The 21,558-nt window shown below is 39.5% G+C and overlaps 1 protein-coding gene across 1 annotated transcript, besides 4 other annotated features; it reads right to left on the bottom strand.

Annotated features, from left to right (window-relative positions):
• Positions 1 to 2,776: 2,776 nt before the first annotated feature.
• Positions 2,777 to 16,177, bottom strand: DEFB107B (defensin beta 107B). Its single transcript, NM_001040705.2, has 2 exons — positions 16,085 to 16,177; positions 2,777 to 3,007 (listed from the first exon to the last, which is right to left on the bottom strand). Exons 1-2 carry the CDS (start codon positions 16,152 to 16,154, stop codon positions 2,865 to 2,867), a joined length of 213 nt encoding a protein of 70 aa, NP_001035795.1. The 5' UTR covers positions 16,155 to 16,177; the 3' UTR covers positions 2,777 to 2,864.
• Positions 4,348 to 5,279: an enhancer, noted in NCBI's record as "OCT4-NANOG-H3K27ac hESC enhancer chr8:7364331-7365262 (GRCh37/hg19 assembly coordinates)". NCBI's record gives its function as "activates a minimal SCP1, AML or CMV promoter by ChIP-STARR-seq in primed H9 embryonic stem cells {active_cell/tissue: H9 hESC(primed)}" and the evidence as "EXISTENCE:reporter gene assay evidence [ECO:0000049][PMID:30033119]".
• Positions 5,280 to 6,213: an enhancer, noted in NCBI's record as "OCT4-NANOG-H3K27ac hESC enhancer chr8:7363397-7364330 (GRCh37/hg19 assembly coordinates)". NCBI's record gives its function as "activates a minimal SCP1, AML or CMV promoter by ChIP-STARR-seq in primed H9 embryonic stem cells {active_cell/tissue: H9 hESC(primed)}" and the evidence as "EXISTENCE:reporter gene assay evidence [ECO:0000049][PMID:30033119]".
• Positions 13,171 to 13,677: an enhancer, noted in NCBI's record as "OCT4-NANOG-H3K27ac hESC enhancer chr8:7355933-7356439 (GRCh37/hg19 assembly coordinates)". NCBI's record gives its function as "activates a minimal SCP1, AML or CMV promoter by ChIP-STARR-seq in primed H9 embryonic stem cells {active_cell/tissue: H9 hESC(primed)}" and the evidence as "EXISTENCE:reporter gene assay evidence [ECO:0000049][PMID:30033119]".
• Positions 13,678 to 14,186: an enhancer, noted in NCBI's record as "OCT4-NANOG-H3K27ac hESC enhancer chr8:7355424-7355932 (GRCh37/hg19 assembly coordinates)". NCBI's record gives its function as "activates a minimal SCP1, AML or CMV promoter by ChIP-STARR-seq in primed H9 embryonic stem cells {active_cell/tissue: H9 hESC(primed)}" and the evidence as "EXISTENCE:reporter gene assay evidence [ECO:0000049][PMID:30033119]".
• Positions 16,178 to 21,558: the final 5,381 nt, after the last annotated feature.

Genomic DNA, 21,558 nt, shown 5'->3' with positions numbered 1-21,558 from the left:
TATTGGAATGGGGCTGACAAAAACGGCATAGAACAGATGCCTTCACTCTTGGTCTTGTTTTCCACTCTCCTGCTAATACCTTTCATTAAAGGTGCTAACAAGAAGCTAACTGGCCAAGCAGTATAACAAATGCTGTTTTCAGAGTCCCAGCACAGCACCACAGAGCAGAGTAAAGAAATCATAAAAGTAAAGAAGTAACACCATGTCATTAGTCCATAAAGAGTGGGAACCATGAGAATGGAGGAGATTGTTTGGAGATAACACGTATAATAAGAAGAGAATGAAACATAGGTGAAAGCAATCCTAGCCAAGAGAATATGAGGAACAGTCAGCAAAGAAGACTGAGAATGTGTGGAGAAGACAAAGAGAAATGTCCAGCAGACAAACATTCTCACGGCCAGAAGAGAGAGAAATTAAGGTGCAGGAGATAGATCACCTTGTAAAATGTTTCAGAAAGGGCCTGAAGGATGAATACTGGCCATAGGTCACTGGAGTTGGCCCTGGTAATTTATTAAGAGAAAAACTACTATTAACTGACTAAGGAGGTACCTGGTACCTTTATAAAGAGAAATTCCAATAGTATGATGAGAGCTAAAATAATCTTCTTCTTCTTCTTCTTCTTTTTTCTTCTTCTCCTTCTTCTTCTTTTGAAACAGGGTCTCTTTTTTTTTTTTTTTTTTTTGAGACAGAGTCTCCCTCTGTCACTCAGGCTGGAGTGCAATGGCATGATCAGGCTCACTGCAGCCTCAACTTCCAGGGCTCAGCCCCCAAGCAATTGGGGCTATGGGTGTGAGCCACTATACCGGGCTTTTCTTTTCTTTTTTTTTTTTTTTGAGACGTAGACTTGCTCTTGTCACCCAGGCTGGAGTGCAATGGCATGATCTTGGCTCACTGCAACCTCTGCCTCCCGGGTTCAAGCGATTCCCCTGTCTCAGACTCCCAAGGAGCTGGGATTACAGATGCATGCCACCACGCCTGGCTGCTTTTTGTATTTTTAGTAGAGACGGGGTTTCACCAGGTTGGTCAAGCTGGTCTCAAACTCCCGACCTTGTGATTTGCCCACCTCGGCCCCCCAAAGTGCTGGGATTACAGGCGTGAGCCACTGTGCCCAGCCTAAATTTTTAAATTTTTGTAGAGATGGGGTCTCCCTATGTTGCCCAGGCTGGTCTCGAACTCCTGGGCTCAAAGGATCCTCCTGTCTTGGCCTCCCAAAGTGCTGAAATTGCAGGCATGAGCCTCCATGCCTGGCTTTAAGAGATTTCTATAGGTTGAGAAGGAAACAGGGTATAAAAACACTGGAGACAGGAAATGTATGCTATATTTCAAGTCATTTGACTGACAGAGAAAGAAGAGGAAAAATAAAAAATGAAGAAACGAGAAAGTCTAAACACACTTAGATTCTCAAAGGCAGTTAGTTTTATCTGAGACAATGTTTAAGGAATTTCTAGGGAAAATGCAGAACAGAAAAATCCTCTGATTGAAACAGATAACTTTACATATTTTCCTCCAGCATAGTTTTCAGAATAAGAAAATTAGCACCATGAAGACAAGTGGCAATACCAGAAGATCTTTCAAAACACATTTTATTTTTTATTTTAAAACATTTTACACGTTGTCTTGTTCCAGATTTTTTTTCCTCTTTTATTTACATCTCTACAGGAAGCCAGCTTAACTGAATAGAGAAGGACATTTTCTAGAGCAGCGCAGAGGGATTTTACTTCTTCTGTTCTGGGATGGTGTACTATAAATCTTCTACGATGAAATGGTCTGTGATATATGCTTTCTTCTGCTGGAAAGCTGGGACTCCAAATTTTGGCAAATTAGGGAAAAGGTAAGCCTCAGTTTGCCATTGTTATGCTCTGAAAGGGCAGGGTTTGCAGGATTACAAAAGAGATTCTTAGAAAGTGTCTTTTTTTCTTTCTATGGTTTTTTTTTTTTCAGTTTGTTTCAATTTCTTCCTCCATTTAACTGTTCACCTGAACCCGCTGAGAAACGTTCCATCTTTAGGACTGCCTTTTGTTGTTCTATTATCTTCCAGCCTGCTATTTTGTGGACATGCTAAGCAGACAAGTCCAGAAAGCCCGAAGTTGGAATATAAATGTGACTAAGTCAGTAACTGTATAATCTTCTTCAGTCTCACTCTCCTCATTTGTAATAAGGGCACTGAATTCGATGACCTTTGGGGAACTTACTGCTTCAGAAACCCATGATTTGATCAATTCTCACTGCAAATGGCCAGAATGAAGATGTTGCTCAAGCTACAGCCAACTTGAATTTTGATATGGGTGCATTTCATTCTAAAACTTGATGTTTTAGATCGAACAGGTAAATGAACAAGAATCTAAAGAGTTCCTACCTATAAAAGAGAGAAAGGAGTACATGACAGTGATACTGCTGAAGCAGCCACAATGAGCATCTAGCAGGTATTCCGTTTACTGAGAGGTTCAATCTGCTCACATTATAGATACCAGAATCCTGGCACAGAGGGCCCAATGTCCTACATCTGTTTAAAGCCAGAGCTATGACTTTAGAACTCAATTCACCTGAGTGCCAGTCCAACCATTCCATTCCATCTGTTTTATCTGTGTATTCAATGGCTCACATTTATATAAAGTAAAAGAAATCATTAATAGGCCCTGTGTCAGGAACTGAGAGTGCAAAGGTCAACAAGATATAGTGTCTGCCTGGAAGAAGTTCACAGCCTAGGAAGGGTATCTCCTTGTAGCACTGGGAACTGGACAGACATGGCTTCAGATAATCCAACCTTTGCAGATCAAAGAGAGATGGTCCAGAGAGATTTATCCCACTGATATCGCAGCCAGAGAATCTTCACCTCTTTGTTTCTTGCAGCTGGTGCTTAGTTTTTAATGTTTCTTTCTGTTTTTGCAGCAAAATGGTGCTAATTCAGCTCTACAGCCCCCAATCTTTACTTCAAAGGTAAGACATTCGGCTTCACAGTGACCTTCCATTCTCTTACTAATTAGTGCTCTATGAATTGCTGTCCTGGCTAAGTAAAGAAAGCAATTTGTCTTCAGTTATCTAGTAATTAGTAACTGTAAGATAAAATTACATCGCCCAGGCCAAATTCAGACTTCCTCATTACCATAACTCCTAGAGACACAGACTATAAACCTAGAAATTAGAAAAATCAGATGTTATCTGAACAGTCATGTCTGAGCTCAGACCCCTGGTACAATATAATCAATGTCCTTATTAAATAGCCAATTGGAAAAAAACAGAAAAGATTTTCATATGTCAAAATCATATCTAGCTTGTACAGAAACAGAATGTTTCTTCCAAGGAAGATGACAAAATACTTTCTAATTCCAATGAACGATCCTTACCAACAGATTTTTTTTCCCCTGTATCCAAATAGTCTCTGATTTATAGCAAAAGTTAAAGATTGTTCTGTTACATTATAGGCAGGCCAATAGTAGATCATATGCCCTGGCATATGATTTCGGAGTCTCACAGTTTTAGGTAGAAAGATAAACAACATGATGCTAGTCCTTCTCAATTTACTGTGCAAAGAACACCAATGGAATCGTGTATTTAGCTCTGGCAAGCAAATTTAGAGAGACATAGGCAATGTGTGTTCATTCATAACAGAGATTAGGTTGAAGAGGAAAAAATATGTCAAAACAGGAATCTTTTTTAATTGGTAAGATACATTCTTAGGAAACAATAGTGGAAGAAGTAGCAGTTCTTCTCAAAAGGAGTAATGTTTATTCCTGGAAATAACAACTTTGGGGGAGAAACAGTACATATTAGCTGCCATATATCTGAAATATTATCATGTGGAATATATTTTGTTAGTGCCAAGTTAAGGCAAAGACTAATGGAAAGAAATTGCAGGGGCTTAGATTTCTGCTCAAATTAAGGAGAAATTTTTGAATAGTCCAAAGTTGAACTTGGGATACTGTGAACTACAGATCACTTAAATTTATCAGGCAACTGGACAATCAGTTGAGACACACACGCACACACATACACACACACACACATATATATATATATATACATGTATAGGGTGTTCAATACTGAATCAGGACAGAGAACAAAAAAATAAGTAGAAGAACAAATGACCAACAATGGTAAACTCTAACATAGCATAGAGTATGTGCCTGCCACTGCTCAAGCAGTTATACAGAGAGATTGTTAAACTGTCCCAAAGCAGTCAGTTTTACCTTCAGACTTTTAGTCATAGAACCTCTGGGTTTAGCTGGACACATGAATACTTAGCTAATCACATCAGCTCCTAGCTTCCTATTTCTATATGTCCACATGAACAAATTTGGAAAAATGAAAAAGGAGTGGAATGATGTGAGCTGCTTCTATGTAATCTTAATCAGGTTCTATACTTTCTAACCCTGCCTGTTAGAATATCCTTGGAACCAAATAAAATGGTCAACTGTTTAGGATGGCAGGGTTGACCTTCAGCCCAAATCACAACATAACTTGGTGAAAAAGAACCCTCTACCCGCACCTAGTCAACTTAGCTATTTTTGGACTTTTACATGAAAGAGAAATAAGGTTTTGTCTTTCTTCAGTCATTCTATCATTAAGATTCTTTATTATAACAAGTTAGTTTCTAATTAATATAACAAGTTTATTCATCTTCAAAACAATGCTATTATTATTATCATTTATAGAATGGCAAGTAAAACACAGGGTGCATACAGCTTATAAAGATTAGCACTGAGATCCAAACTCATATAGTTTGGCCTAATAACCTATGTTTATTACCTTTTGTGGGGAAAAGCAAGAGAGATCAGATTGTTACTGTGTCTGTGTAGAAAGAAGTAGACATAGGAGACTCCATTTTGTTATGTACTAAGAAAAATTCTTCTGCCTTGAGATTCTGTGACCTTACCCCCAACCCCGTGCTCTCTGAAATGTGTGCTGTGTCAACTCAGAGTTAAATGGATTAAGGGCGGTGCAGGATGTGCTTTGTTAAACAGATGCTTGAAGGCAGCATGCTCCTTAAGAGTCATCACCACTCCCTAATCTCAAGTACCCAGGGACACAAAAACTGCGGAAGGCCGCAGGGACCTCTGCCTAGGAAAGCCAGGTATTGTCCAAGGTTTCTCCCCATGTGATAGTCTGAAATATGGCCTCGTGGGAAGGGAAAGACATGACCGTCCCCCAGCCCGATACCCGTAAAGGGTCTGTGCTGAGGAGGATTAGTAAAAGAGGAAGGAATGCCTCTTGCAGTTGAGACAAGAGGAAGGCATCTGTCTCCTGCCTGTCCCTGGGCAATGGAATGTCTCGGTATAAAACCCGATTGTATGCTCCATCTACTGAGATAGGGAAAAACCGCCTTAGGGCTGGAGGTGGGACCTGCGGGCAGCAATACTGCTTTGTAAAGCACTGAGATGTTTATGTGTATGCATATCTAAAAGCACAGCACTTAATCCTTTACATTGTCTATGATGCAAAGACCTTTGTTCACGTGTTTGTCTGCTGACCCTCTCCCCACAATTGTCTTGTGACCCTGACACATCCCCCTCTTTGAGAAACACCCACAGATGATCAATAAATACGAAGGGAACTCAGAGGCTGGCGGGATCCTCCATATGCTGAACGCTGGTTCCCCGGGTCCCCTTATTTCTTTCTCTATACTTTGTCTCTGTGTCTTTTTCTTTTCCAAATCTCTCGTCCCACCTTACAAGAAACACCCACAGGTGTGTAGGGGCAACCCACCCCTACATCTGGTGCCCAAAGTGGAGGCTTTTCTCTAGGGTGAAGGTACGCTCGAGCGTGGTCATTGAGGACAAGTCGACGAGAGATCCCGAGTACGTCTACAGTCAGCCTTACGGTAAGCTTGTGCGCTCGGAAGAAGCTAGGGTGATAATGGGGCAAACTAAAAGTAAAATTAAAAGTAAATATGCCTCTTATCTCAGCTTTATTAAAATTCTTTTAAAAAGAGGGGGAGTTAAAGTATCTACAAAAAATCTAATCAAGCTATTTCAAATAATAGAACAATTTTGCCCATGGTTTCCAGAACAAGGAACTTTAGATCTAAAAGATTGGAAAAGAATTGGTAAGGAACTAAAACAAGCAGGTAGGAAGGGTAATATCATTCCACTTACAGTATGGAATGATTGGGCCATTATTAAAGCAGCTTTAGAACCATTTCAAACAGAAGAAGATAGCATTTCAGTTTCTGATGCCCCTGGAAGCTGTTTAATAGATTGTAATGAAAACACAAGGAAAAAATCCCAGAAAGAAACGGAAAGTTTACATTGCGAATATGTAGCAGAGCCGGTAATGGCTCAGTCAACGCAAAATGTTGACTATAATCAATTACAGGAGGTGATATATCCTGAAACGTTAAAATTAGAAGGAAAAGGTCCAGAATTAGTGGGGCCATCAGAGTCTAAACCACGAGGCACAAGTCCTCTTCCAGCAGGTCAGGTGCCCGTAACATTACAACCTCAAAAGCAGGTTAAAGAAAATAAGACCCAACCGCCAGTAGCCTATCAATACTGGCCTCCGGCTGAACTTCAGTATCGGCCACCCCCAGAAAGTCAGTATGGATATCCAGGAATGCCCCCAGCACCACAGGGCAGGGAGCCATACCCTCAGCCGCCCACTAGGAGACTTAATCCTACGGCACCACCTAGTAGACAGGGTAGTGAATTACATGAAATTATTGATAAATCAAGAAAGGAAGGAGATACTGAGGCATGGCAATTCCCAGTAACGTTAGAACCGATGCCACCTGGAGAAGGAGCCCAAGAGGGAGAGCCTCCCACAGTTGAGGCCAGATACAAGTCTTTTTCGATAAAAATGCTAAAAGATATGAAAGAGGGAGTAAAACAGTATGGACCCAACTCCCCTTATATGAGGACATTATTAGATTCCATTGCTCATGGACATAGACTCATTCCTTATGATTGGGAGATTCTGGCAAAATCGTCTCTCTCACCCTCTCAATTTTTACAATTTAAGACTTGGTGGATTGATGGGGTACAAGAACAGGTCCGAAGAAATAGGGCTGCCAATCCTCCAGTTAACATAGATGCAGATCAACTATTAGGAATAGGTCAAAATTGGAGTACTATTAGTCAACAAGCATTAATGCAAAATGAGGCCATTGAGCAAGTTAGAGCTATCTGCCTTAGAGCCTGGGAAAAAATCCAAGACCCAGGAAGTACCTGCCCCTCATTTAATACAGTAAGACAAGGTTCAAAAGAGCCCTATCCTGATTTTGTGGCAAGGCTCCAAGATGTTGCTCAAAAGTCAATTGCCGATGAAAAAGCCCGTAAGGTCATAGTGGAGTTGATGGCATATGAAAACGCCAATCCTGAGTGTCAATCAGCCATTAAGCCATTAAAAGGAAAGGTTCCTGCAGGATCAGATGTAATCTCAGAATATGTAAAAGCCTGTGATGGAATCGGAGGAGCTATGCATAAAGCTATGCTTATGGCTCAAGCAATAACAGGAGTTGTTTTAGGAGGACAAGTTAGAACATTTGGAGGAAAATGTTATAATTGTGGTCAAATTGGTCACTTAAAAAAGAATTGCCCAGTCTTAAACAAACAGAATATAACTATTCAAGCAACTACAACAGGTAGAGAGCCACCTGACTTATGTCCAAGATGTAAAAAAGGAAAACATTGGGCTAGTCAATGTCGTTCTAAATTTGATAAAAATGGGCAACCATTGTCGGGAAACGAGCAAAGGGGCCAGCCTCAGGCCCCACAACAAACTGGGGCATTCCCAATTCAGCCATTTGTTCCTCAGGGTTTTCAGGACAACAACCCCCACTGTCCCAAGTGTTTCAGGGAATAAGCCAGTTACCACAATACAACAATTGTCCCCCGCCACAAGCGGCAGTGCAGCAGTAGATTTATGTACTATACAAGCAGTCTCTCTGCTTCCAGGGGAGCCCCCACAAAAAATCCCTACAGGGGTATATGGCCCACTGCCTGAGGGGACTGTAGGACTAATCTTGGGAAGATCAAGTCTAAATCTAAAAGGAGTTCAAATTCATACTAGTGTGGTTGATTCAGACTATAAAGGCGAAATTCAATTGGTTATTAGCTCTTCAATTCCTTGGAGTGCCAGTCCAAGAGACAGGATTGCTCAATTATTACTCCTGCCATATATTAAGGGTGGAAATAGTGAAATAAAAAGAATAGGAGGGCTTGGAAGCACTGATCCAACAGGAAAGGCTGCATATTGGGCAAGTCAGGTCTCAGAGAACAGACCTGTGTGTAAGGCCATTATTCAAGGAAAACAGTTTGAAGGATTGGTAGACACTGGAGCAGATGTCTCTATCATTGCTTTAAATCAGTGGCCAAAAAATTGGCCTAAACAAAAGGCTGTTATAGGACTTGTCGGCATAGGCACAGCCTCAGAAGTGTATCAAAGTATGGAGATTTTACATTGCTTAGGGCCAGATAATCAAGAAAGTACTGTTCAGCCAATGATTACTTCAATTCCTCTTAATCTGTGGGGTCGAGATTTATTACAACAATGGGGTGCGGAAATCACCATGCCCGCTCCATTATATAGCCCCACGAGTCAAAAAATCATGACCAAGAGGGGATATATACCAGGAAAGGGACTAGGGAAAAATGAAGATGGCATTAAAATTCCATTTGAGGCTAAAATAAATCAAAAAAGAGAAGGAATAGGGTATCCTTTTTAGGGGTGGCCACTATAGAGCCTCCGAAACCCATACCATTAACTTGGAAAACAGAAAAACTGGTGTGGGTAAATCAGTGGCCGCTACCAAAACAAAAACTGGAGGCTTTACATTTATTAGCAAATGAACAGTTAGAAAAGGGTCATATTGAGCCTTCGTTCTCACCTTGGAATTCTCCTGTGTTTGTAATTCAGAAGAAATCAGGCAAATGGCGTATGTTAACTGACTTAAGGGCTGTAAACGCCGTAATTCAACCCATGGGGCCTCTCCAACCCGGGTTGCCCTCTCCAGCCATGATCCCAAAAGATTGGCCTTTAATTATAATTGATCTAAAGGATTGCTTTTTTACCATCCCTCTGGCAGAGCAGGATTGCGAAAAATTTGCCTTTACTATACCAGCCATAAATAATAAAGAACCAGCCACCAGGTTTCAGTGGAAAGTGTTACCTCAGGGAATGCTTAATAGTCCAACTATTTGTCAGACTTTTGTAGGTCGAGCTCTTCAACCAGTTAGAAAAAAGTTTTCAGACTGTTATATTATTCATTATATTGATGATATTTTATGTGCTGCAGAAACGAAAGATAAATTAATTGACTGTTATACATTTCTGCAAGCAGAGGTTGCCAGTGCTGGACTGGCAATAGCATCTGATAAGATCCAAACCTCTACTCCTTTTCATTATTTAGGGATGCAGATAGAAAATAGAAAAATTAAGCCACAAAAAATAGAAATAAGAAAAGACACATTAAAAACACTAAATGATTTTCAAAAATTACTAGGAGATATTAATTGGATTCAGCCAACTCTAGGCATTCCTACTTATGCCATGTCAAATTTGTTCTCTATCTTAAGAGGAGACTCAGACTTAAATAGTAAAAGAATATTAACCCCAGAGGCAACAAAAGAAATTAAATTAGTGGAAGAAAAAATTCAGTCAGCACAAATAAATAGAATAGATCCCTTAGCCCCACTCCAACTTTTGATTTTTGCCACTGCACATTCTCCAACAGGTATCATTATTCAAAATACTGATCTTGTGGAGTGGTCATTCCTTCCTCACAGTACAGTTAAGACTTTTACACTGTACTTGGATCAAATAGCTACATTAATCGGTCAGACAAGATTACGAATAATAAAATTATGTGGAAATGACCCAGACAAAATAGTTGTCCCTTTAACCAAGGAACAAGTTAGACAAGCCTTTATCAATTCTGGTGCATGGCAGATTGGTCTTGCTAATTTTGTGGGAATTATTGATAATCATTACCCAAAAACAAAGATCTTCCAGTTCTTAAAACTGACTACTTGGATTCTACCTAAAATTACCAGACGTGAACCTTTAGAAAATGCTCTAACAGTATTTACTGATGGTTCCAGCAATGGAAAAGCAGCTTACACAGGGCCGAAAGAACGAGTAATCAAAACTCCATATCAATCAGCTCAAAGAGCAGAGTTGGTTGCAGTCATTACAGTGTTACAAGATTTTGACCAACCTATCAATATTATATCAGATTCTGCATATGTAGTACAGGCTACAAGGGTTGTTGAGACAGCTCTAATTAAATATAGCATGGATGATCAGTTAAACCAGCTATTCAATTTATTACAACAAACTGTAAGAAAAAGAAATTTCCCATTTTATATTACTCATATTCGAGCACACACTAATTTACCAGGGCCTTTGACTAAAGCAAATGAACAAGCTGACTTACTGGTATCATCTGCACTCATAAAAGCACAAGAACTTCATGCTTTGACTCATGTAAATGCAGCAGGATTAAAAAACAAATTTGATGTCACATGGAAACAGGCAAAAGATATTGTACAACATTGCACCCAGTGTCAAGTCTTACACCTGCCCACTCAAGAGGCAGGAGTTAATCCCAGAGGTCTGTGTCCTAATGCATTATGGCAAATGGATGTCACGCATGTACCTTCATTTGGAAGATTATCATATGTTCATGTAACAGTTGATACTTATTCACATTTCATATGGGCAACTTGCCAAACAGGAGAAAGTACTTCCCATGTTAAAAAACATTTATTGTCTTGTTTTGCTGTAATGGGAGTTCCAGAAAAAATCAAAACTGACAATGGACCAGGATATTGTAGTAAAGCTTTCCAAAAATTCTTAAGTCAGTGGAAAATTTCACATACAACAGGAATTCCTTATAATTCCCAAGGACAGGCCATAGTTGAAAGAACTAATAGAACACTCAAAACTCAATTAGTTAAACAAAAAGAAGGGGGAGACAGTAAGGAGTGTACCACTCCTCAGATGCAACTTAATCTAGCACTCTATACTTTAAATTTTTTAAACATTTATAGAAATCAGACTACTACTTCTGCAGAACAACATCTTACTGGTAAAAAGAACAGCCCACATGAAGGAAAACTAATTTGGTGGAAAGATAATAAAAATAAGACATGGGAAATAGGGAAGGTGATAACGTGGGGGAGAGGTTTTGCTTGTGTTTCACCAGGAGAAAATCAGCTTCCTGTTTGGATACCCACTAGACATTTGAAGTTCTACAATGAACCCATCAGAGATGCAAAGAAAAGCACCTCCGCGGAGACGGAGACACCGCAATCGAGCACCGTTGACTCACAAGATGAACAAAATGGTGACGTCAGAAGAACAGATGAAGTTGCCATCCACCAAGAAGGCAGAGCCGCCGACTTGGGCACAACTAAAGAAGCTGACGCAGTTAGCTACAAAATATCTAGAGAACACAAAGGTGACACAAACCCCAGAGAGTATGCTGCTTGCAGCCTTGATGATTGTATCAATGGTGGTAAGTCTCCCTATGCCTGCAGGAGCAGCTGTAGCTAACTATACCAACTGGGCCTATGTGCCTTTCCCGCCCTTAATTCGGGCAGTCACATGGATGGATAATCCTATAGAAGTATATGTTAATGATAGTGTATGGGTACCTGGCCCCATAGATGATCGCTGCCCTGCCAAACCTGAGGAAGAAGGGATGATGATAAATATTTCCATTGGGTATCGTTATCCTCCTATTTGCCTAGGGAGAGCACCAGGATGTTTAATGCCTGCAGTCCAAAATTGGTTGGTAGAAGTACCTACTGTCAGTCCCATCAGTAGATTCACTTATCACATGGTAAGCGGGATGTCACTCAGGCCACGGGTAAATTATTTACAAGACTTTTCTTATCAAAGATCATTAAAATTTAGACCTAAAGGGAAACCTTGCCCCAAGGAAATTCCCAAAGAATCAAAAAATACAGAAGTTTTAGTTTGGGAAGAATGTGTGGCCAATAGTGCGGTGATATTACAAAACAATGAATTTGGAACTATTATAGATTGGGCACCTCGAGGTCAATTCTACCACAATTGCTCAGGACAAACTCAGTCGTGTCCAAGTGCACAAGTGAGTCCAGCTGTTGATAGCGACTTAACAGAAAGTTTAGACAAACATAAGCATAAAAAATTGCAGTCTTTCTACCCTTGGGAATGGGGAGAAAAAAGAATCTCTACCCCAAGACCAAAAATAGTAAGTCCTGTTTCTGGTCCTGAACATCCAGAATTATGGAGGCTTACTGTGGCCTCACACCACATTAGAATTTGGTCTGGAAATCAAACTTTAGAAACAAGAGATCGTAAGCCATTTTATACTGTCGACCTAAATTCCAGTCTAACACTTCCTTTACAAAGTTGCGTAAAGCCCCCTTATATGCTAGTTGTAGGAAATATAGTTATTAAACCAGACTCCCAGACTATAACCTGTGAAAATTGTAGATTGCTTACTTGCATTGATTCAACTTTTAATTGGCAACACCGTATTCTGCTGGTGAGAGCAAGAGAGGGCGTGTGGATCCCTGTGTCCATGGACCGACCATGGGAGGCCTCACCATCCGTCCATATTTTGACTGAAGTATTAAAAGGTGTTTTAAATAGATCCAAAAGATTCATTTTTACTTTAATTGCAGTGATTATGGGATTAATTGCAGTCACAGCTACGGCTGCTGTAGCAGGAGTTGCATTGCACTCTTCTGTTCAGTCAGTAAACTTTGTTAATGATGGGCAAAAGAATTCTACAAGATTGTGGAATTCACAATCTAGTATTGATCAAAAATTGGCAAATCAAATTAATGATCTTAGACAAACTGTCATTTGGATGGGAGACAGACTCATGAGCTTAGAACATCGTTTCCAGTTACAGTGTGACTGGAATACGTCAGATTTTTGTATTACACCCCAAATTTATAATGACTCTGAGCATCACTGGGACATGGTTAGACGCCATCTACAGGGAAGAGAAGATAATCTCACTTTAGACATTTCCAAATTAAAAGAACAAATTTTCGAAGCATCAAAAGCCCATTTAAATTTGGTGCCAGGAACTGAGGCAATTGCAGGAGTTGCTGATGGCCTCGCAAATCTTAACCCTGTCACTTGGGTTAAGACCATTGGAAGTACTACAATTATAAATCTCATATTAATCCTTGTGTGCCTGTTTTGTCTGTTGTTAGTCTGCAGGTGTACTCAACAGCTCCGAAGAGACAGCGACCATCGAGAACGGGCCATGATGACGATGGCGGTTTTGTCGAAAAGAAAAGGGGGAAATGTGGGGAAAAGCAAGAGAGATCAGATTGTTACTGTGTCTGTGTAGAAAGAAGTAGACATGGGAGACTCCATTTTGTTATGTGCTAAGAAAAATTCTTCTGCCTTGAGATTCTGTTAATCTATGACCTTACCCCCAACCCCGTGCTCTCTGAAACGTGTGCTGTGTCAACTCAGGGTTGAATGGATTAAGGGCGGTGCAGGATGTGCTTTGTTAAACAGATGCTTGAAGGCAGCATGCTCCTTAAGAGTCATCACCACTCCCTAATCTCAAGTACCCAGGGACACAAAAACTGCGGAAGGCCGCAGGGACCTCTGCCTAGGAAAGCCAGGTATTGTCCAAGGTTTCTCCCCATGTGATAGTCTGAAATATGGCCTCGTGGGAAGGGAAAGACCTGACCGTCCCCCAGCCCGACACCCGTAAAGGGTCTGTGCTGAGGAGGATTAGTAAAAGAGGAAGGAATGCCTCTTGCAGTTGAGACAAGAGGAAGGCATCTGTCTCCTGCCTGTCCCTGGGCAATGGAATGTCTCGGTATAAAACCTGATTGTATGCTCCATCTACTGAGATAGGGAAAAACCGCCTTAGGGCTGGAGGTGGGACCTGCGGGCAGCAATACTGCTTTGTAAAGCACTGAGATGTTTATGTGTATGCATATCCAAAAGCACAGCACTTAATCCTTTACATTGTCTATGATGCAAAGACCTTTGTTCACGTGTTTGTCTGCTGACCCTCTCCCCACAATTGTCTTGTGACCCTGACACATCCCCCTCTTTGAGAAACACCCACAGATGATCAATAAATACTAAGGGAACTCAGAGGCTGGCGGGATCCTCCATATGCTGAATGCTGGTTCCCCGGGTCCCCTTATTTCTTTCTCTATACTTTGTCTCTGTGTCTTTTTCTTTTCCAAATCTCTCGTCCCACCTTACGAGAAACACCCACAGGTGGGTAGGGGCAACCCACCCCTACACCTTTTATATTGATCATTAAATTCACTTCTAACTCTGAGATTCTATGTGATTATGGTGATGGTGGTGGTTCTAATTTGTGCCCAAACTATGCTTATTATTGTAATTCAAATACATCTGAGATGAGTTTTGTGGACAGGGAGCTATTAGGCATCCACATCTATAGACTGATCTGAATAAATTGGAGTACTGATTAAAGTGGATGGAGAAGACAATTTTAAATGAGTTTATCTATTCTGGAGCATTGTCTGACATCTGCAAAAAGATGCTGAGGGCAGAAAATCGGGAACTGATTTTACAACTGAGACTTTCATGGAGTCACTGAAACTTTCATGGGGACATTGTTCCCTGGCTCTGTTCTTTAGTTCTAGTCTTGCCTATTTCCAAATGTGCAAAACAAATACTACTTCCCAGGAAGCCTTTCTGCATTTCCTAGTTAGAACCAAGTTTCCACATCTATGACTTCTCTTTATAATTTGCATCTTTTATGGCACTTGTGAAAACTGTTTCATATTAAAGTTATTTGTGAATTTTCCTGTCTCATTGATATACTTACTTATACATGTTAAATGTATTGAAAGCTTATTTACCACTACAAGCAACCTATTTTCGAACAACATAGAAGGAATAGACTAATAACTTCAAGCAAATTAAGGTCAATGTCCATGCTTTATATTTTTACCTCTTCGTTTTACCTACCTTTATCATAGTGGACAGAACAATTTCTTACAAGTGGTTAGCACACATTCAATATCTATTGGTTTTCTAGGACTACTGAGGACAGAATGTGTAATAAAGGAATGTAGAAATTCAGGAGCCATGAAGGAACAGACAGGGGGCTTCATGATGCATGGAGAACCTCTAATAGGAAAAGCTTCACAACAGAAGGAACGAAGGATAGTTGAGGAGGTATGGACATAAACATTTCTTAGGAACAGAGTCGTGGTTGTATGAAGCAAAGAGAATCTCAAAGACGCAAAGACTTAAGAGAATAGTAAGCAAGATGTTAGTTTAGTGGTTTTAATGGCATAATTTCCAACCAGTGTGTGAAAGCCAAAAAGTCTAAAATAATGTATGGATAAGAGATTTGGACCGACGACTCAGACATGAAAAAAAATTAGCTGTCTAAGAATCTAGTAACATAACTTTAGTTTAATTTAGACTACAAAGGCTGTACTTCCCTAACTTAACAAATATGTTTGGCATTTCCTTGGATAATCTTTTCTTTCTTTTTTTTTTTTTTTTTTCATTTTAAAGAAATCACTTTAGAATATGCTGGCCAGGCGCGGTGGCTCATGCCTGTAATCCCAGGGCTCTGGGAGGCCGAGGAGGGCGGATCACGAAGTCAGGACATCAAGACCATCCTGGCTAACACGGTGAAACCCCGTCTCTACTAAAAATACAAAAAAATTAGCCAGGCGTGGTGGCGGGTGCGTGTAGTCCCAGCTACTCGGGAGGCTGAGGCAGGAGAATGGCATGAACCTGGGAGGCAGAGCTTGCAGTGAGCCAAGATCGCACCACTGCACTCCAGCCTGGGCGACAGCGCGAGACTCCGTCTCAAAAAAAAAAAAAAAAAAAAAAAAAAAGAATATGCTGAACCTGCGTTGCAGATTACAAAGGAGGAAAGAGATCTAAAAGTACAAAGATGTCTGAATTCCTTGGCAGAGCTGTTAGGGAAGTTGACTAGAAACTATTATGGATGGAGATGGTCCCGGTCAATGTGGTCCCATTGTTTTGTGTCGGAGCTCAGGAAAAGATTTTCAGTGACTGGTTTGCCTTGGAACCTTCAACTTTGTAAAAGTTGAGCTTTCATCTCAAAAGACAGATCCTGAGCAGACTGTCATCTCTACTTCTAGAAGAATTTCCCTCTTACCTTGGAAAATTTGAGCAAGAAGAATGAGAGCAGCCAAAATAAAGACAAATATTTTCATGGCTCCAGGCATCAGTGGAGAGCTGATGAAGGAAGTGCAGTAGCTGGAATCAAGCTCTTTTATCAAGGGGCATTGATTAAAATATGTTCTACTGCCCTGAAGGGACTGGAAGTCATCCTCGGTTTGTAATGTTCATTGGGAACATACTATTTTCCATGCTCCACTGACTAATGTGTGGGCTGATGGATCAGATTTTAACTAAACCACATTTGTGGGAGACAAACGCAGAGAACCCTGCCTTTCTGCCTGGAATATTCTATTCTGTGTCTCTGCTTAGACTTCTCTCATTTTTCCTTCAAGTCTTATCTCAAGTATTACCATGTCTATAAGATATATAGCCACCACGCTTTTCCTAGTACATGATTTTACATAAAACCTATTCTTAAAATAATAATTAAAACAAACACACAAAAACCTTTAATTTTAAATTCAGGAGTACGTGTGCAGGTTTTTTTTTTTTTTTTTTTTTTTTGACAGGGTCTCGCTGTATTGCATGGAGTGCTGTTGCTTAAGGAGAAAAGGGTTAATCCATTGAAAATACATAAAAACCATTAACATGTTTTTATATTATTTGATTTAATTAAAGGGAGAAATAGACACTTCTATATTCATAGTAGAAAATTTTTACACCACTCTCTCAGCAACTGATAGAACACAGGGAAAAATTAGCAAAGTCATGCATGATCTGAACAATACCACCATTCCACTGACTGCATTGATATTTATAGAACACATCATAAGACAACTGCAAAATACACATTTTTTTCAAGTACATATGATACATTCATAAAAATGAACCATATGCTAGGCCATAAAACAAATATTGATGTGTTTAAGCACATTTAAATACTTCAGAGTGTATTTCTCACCACAAGGGGATTAAATTGGCAATCTATAAAATAAGCTATTTAGGATATTTTCAAATATGTGGAGATAAAGCAACATCATTCTAGATTGTGTTTGTATCAAAGAATAAATAATGAGAATAATTGGAAAGCATTTCTGTATATCGAATTTTGTGGAGCACAACAAAACAATGACTTCGAAAGAAATTTGTATCCAAATACTTATTGTAGAAAAGAAGAAATGTTTAAATCTATGACTTAAAATTATGCTCTAAGAACCTTAGAAAAGGGAACAATGTAAGCCCAAGTATGCAGAATAAGTGAAAAAGAAGTTATCACTACAGATCCAAGAAACATTAAACTAATATAAAAATGTTGTCAACAGGTATATGCCAAAACATTTCACAACTTACATAAAATAAAAGAATTCTCTCAAAAATTTAACTTACCAAAATTGGCACAAGAATTAGCAGAAAATATAAGTATTTCTGTATGTCTTAAAGAAAGTAAGTGTGTTATTAAATGAAGAATGGCTTCTGCTTAAGATGTAGAAATACGTAAAGAAAATCATCCCACATGAAACAAGTACACAGCAAAACACACGGCAGACTGCAAATATTCAGTTTCTTGAACTCATTGGAAAGCTAAGGTCACAAATCAGCCACCTACCTAGAAATATAAGAAAAGACAGGAACCTCCAAAAAATAAAGACCATGAGTGCTTGCTTACCTGAAGCAGATTACCCCCAGAATATGATTTAAAAGATTTCAGGTAAAGTCTGTAGAGAATTGCTAAGAGCAAGCATAAACTAGAGAAACAATATAAATGTCTGGGGTCACAGACAAAAGAGAAGTTCACAGCAACTTCTAATGTCTTCTCCATAGACTCAGCAGGTGCTTACAAAAAAGATTAGAGTATTTCATGATGTAAGTCGGCTGAGGGGAACAGTAGCCACTGTGAGAAAGAACGAAAGCTTGCAAGAATCTTTCTCTTTTATGGAAAAGAAAGTCTTAATTTCTTAATTAAGAAACTGAGGGAAGAACAACAGTTGTTTGTACGGCACTGGTGAATGAACAATCTAAAAAAATGCAAAACAAAATATTAAAGCTAGGAGAACGAGGAGAAGGGAGCACATTAAAAAAGAAAAATAAAGAACATCCTCTACCTTTGTCAACAGAGAAGGCATACATGCCTCCTGCCTGTAGAAAGATGACAGAATAACTGCAGCAAACTTCTCATCAAAAAATATGCAAGCCAGGACAGGTGTGGTGGTTCACGCCTGTAATCCCAGCACTTTGGGAGGCCAAGGTGGGCAGATCACTTGAGCCAGGAGTTTAGTTCGAAACTAGCCTGGGCAACATAATGAGACCCCTATCTCTACAAAACATACGAAAATTAACTGGACATGGTGGCAGGCACCTGTGGTCCCAGCCACTCAGGAGGCTGAGGTGGGAGGATCACTTGAGCCCCGGAGGCAGAGGATGGGGTGAGCCGAGATCATACCACTGCACTGCAGCCTGAGCTTCAGAGTGAGACCCTGTCTGAAAAAAAAATCGAGGCAAAATAAAATAGAGTAACATCTTTACAATGTTCCAGTGGAGCCATTTGGCCCTGGGTTTTACTATGTGGGATTTTTGTTAGTGTTATTACTGTCAATTCATGCACTTTATTTGTTATAGGTCCATTTTAGACTTTCTATTTCTTCTTGAATTAGGTTTGATATGTATGCATTTCTAGGCATTTATTCATCTAGATTATCAAAATTGTTGCCATAAAATTGTTTATAGTATTCCTTAATAATATTAAAAAATACTTTTGTAAGATCTTTTGTAAAACTTCTCTTTCACTCATGATTTTAGTAATATGAGTATTCTCTTTTTTTCTTAGTCAGTCTAGTTAGAGGCTTGCCAATTTTGTTGATCATTTCAAAAAATAAATTTTTGTTGTGTTGATTTATTCTATTGTTTTCTTAGTCTCTATTTCATTTATTTCCGTGCTAATATTTATTATTTTCTTCCTTGTGCTTGCTTTGGGTTTAGTTGGCTCTTCCTTAATTTTCTTGAGATGGAAGATAATTTACTGATTTTAAATCTATCTTCTTTATAAATACAGGCATTTACAACCATACATTTTCCTGTAAGCATTGTTTTAGCTGCATCTCACAGTTTTTGTAAGTTGCTGTTGTGTTGTATATTTTAAAGTGTTTGGGGGCTCCCTTTAAAATATTTTCTACATTCCCTTATGTTTTCTGCTTTGACCCATCATTTATTCACATTTATGCTGTTTAATTTCCACATAGTTGTGACTTTCCCAAATTTCTTTCTATTATCCCATTTTGTTCAGAGAACATACTTTGTATGATTCCTATCCTTTTAAATGTATTGAGGAGCTTGTATTTAAATCTAACATACAGTCTATTCTAAAGAATATTTCATGTGAACAGAAGAAGAATGTGTATTTTGCTGTAATTGGTGCAGTGTTCCACGCTTTGAGGTCATTGTGTTACAGTGCTATTCAAATCTTGTATTTCCTTGCTAATCTTTTTTCTAGTTGTTTTGTCTATTATTAAAAGTGGTATATTAAAGTCTCCTGCTATTACTGTTGACTTCTCTATTTCTCCCTTCAATTCTGTCAATTTTCTCTTCATGTATTTTGGCACTCTGTTGTTAGGTGCATGTTTTTATACTTGTTATATTATCGTGATAGATTAACTTGCTAACATTACAAAATGCCCTTCTTCATCTTTAGTACCAATTTTGTCTTAAAGTTTGTTTTGTACACTATTGGTATAGCCACTACAGCTCTCTTTTGGTTATTGTTTGTATGGCAAATCTCTTTCCATCCTTTTACTTTCAGTCTCTTTGTTTCCATGAATCTAAAGTGTAAAGAAAGTGTTCCTGGACCAAACGGAGAGTTGGGCTGCTATTTCTCACAGCCCAATAACAAGATGCAAATAAACTCGGGAGGAAGAGAGTTTTTATTTCTGCAACCAGTTATAGGGAGAAGTCCTGGAAATTATCGCCAGACCAACTTAAAATTACAAAGTTTTCCAGAGCTTATATACCTTCCAAGCTATATGTTTATGTGTAAGTGTGCATTCATCTAAAGACATAAGTTATTAACTTCTTTTAATCTATAACTAAGGTCTGAGTCCCGAAGACCTTCCTCTGGAGCCTCAGTAAATGTACTTAATCTAAATGGGTCCAGGTGCTGGGGTTATTACCCTCACCTTGTCTCCTGCTAAATCACTGATATTTGGGGAGTTTCTTCAGACCTCCTATAAACTTGTTTAATCCTAAACGGGTCCTGTTAAGAACTCCTTCATTAGTTTGTCATGCTTTAAGGCCCAGGAAAGGCCTAAGCAAAACTCTTAGTGGGCTTTTGTTACATTCAAGCCTTTATATCAGGGCACTGGCTTTTTAAGCTTTTAATATTTAACTTAACCCCTCAGTGGGTACTAAAGCAGTTGTTATGGAGTCTTGCGTTAGTGAGACTTGGCCTGCCATGAAAGGGAACAATTTGTGACTAGGTGAGCACCTGTGGGAGGTGTCCTCTGCAGCTGCCATCTGGATGCTACATGAGGTCATTAGTGAGGTAATATCAGGGCACAGCTACTGGTCTACCACTTTGTATGACTCTGAGACACTCACATGAATCTTTCATTAAAAGAAACTTCAACTAGGTTCCAGAGCATTTTTTTAAGATAAAGCAATGCAGTATTTGGAATGAGTAAGTAGTATTCCAGTTTCATGGTGTTCTGTAAGCTAGCAGCTGCATTTGCACTGTGGAGACCTGGGGAGGAAGACCATCTGCCAGCAGAAAATTACTGTGAACTGGACTCTTAAGACCAAATACCCCACTTCCCACTTCCCTGGGGTAATTCCTGTGTAAATGAAGGAAACACTCTAGGCTTCTTGAGGGCTGTGTTTCAAATCTCTTTTGGAAAACAGTGGATCATATGTAAATAGAGTGAATCTAAAAATTGAACCAATCAAGCATTAAAAGGGTTCCCCCAATGGATAGTTCTATAGAAAGAATTTAATATGTACAGATAAAGTGTTGGAAAAGATGACAATGCAAAGCGGGAGCAATGAGGCAACCCTACTGATAGTCACAGCAGAAATCTCCCACTGCCCTAAGGTTTGAGGAAAAATGGAAGGATTTGTGTGAGCCTGGGAGCAGCACTGGCTGGCAGAAGCTAAACTTGCGGTGGGACTGCCAGGTGAGTGCAGAAGACAGAAAAGCAGCGGCCTTGCTGAGCATGAAAAGCCACTGCTGGAAAAGAGAGGGAGTCGGGGAGAAATTCACATTGTCCTTCCTTCTTCAATCTCCCATTCTCCTAGGAGACACATTGACCAAAACTAGCCAGAAGTCAGGAAGCCTGGAAAATGTAGTTTGCAACTAATAGTTCCCATTTTACTCAGCAAAGCAGAAAAAAACAAGGAACAGATTTGAGCACAAAGAGACAAATAATAGGCCCAAATGTTAAACAAAACATTGTTTAATCTCATACGTTAAAACTAAGTAACCAAGTTCAAGTCACTGGTCATAGGGCTGGTAATTTTGGCCTT

The sequence above is a fragment of the Homo sapiens genome, chromosome 8 (assembly GCF_000001405.40).
Source record: "Homo sapiens chromosome 8, GRCh38.p14 Primary Assembly".
NCBI lineage: Eukaryota > Metazoa > Chordata > Mammalia > Primates > Hominidae > Homo > Homo sapiens.
Note: the sequence above shows the minus strand (reverse complement) of the source record. Positions and strands in the feature narration are given on the sequence as shown.

Excerpts from the sequence above, each read along its gene's own strand:
- DEFB107B (NM_001040705.2), bottom strand. The coding sequence starts at position 16,154 with ATGCCTGGAGCCATGAAAATATTTGTCTTTATTTTGGCTGCTCTCATT. Across the intron at positions 3,008-16,084 it reads TCTTGCTCAAATTTTCCAAG|CCAGGACAGCAATTCATAGA; the intron begins GTAAGAGGGAAA and ends TTCTTTACTTAG.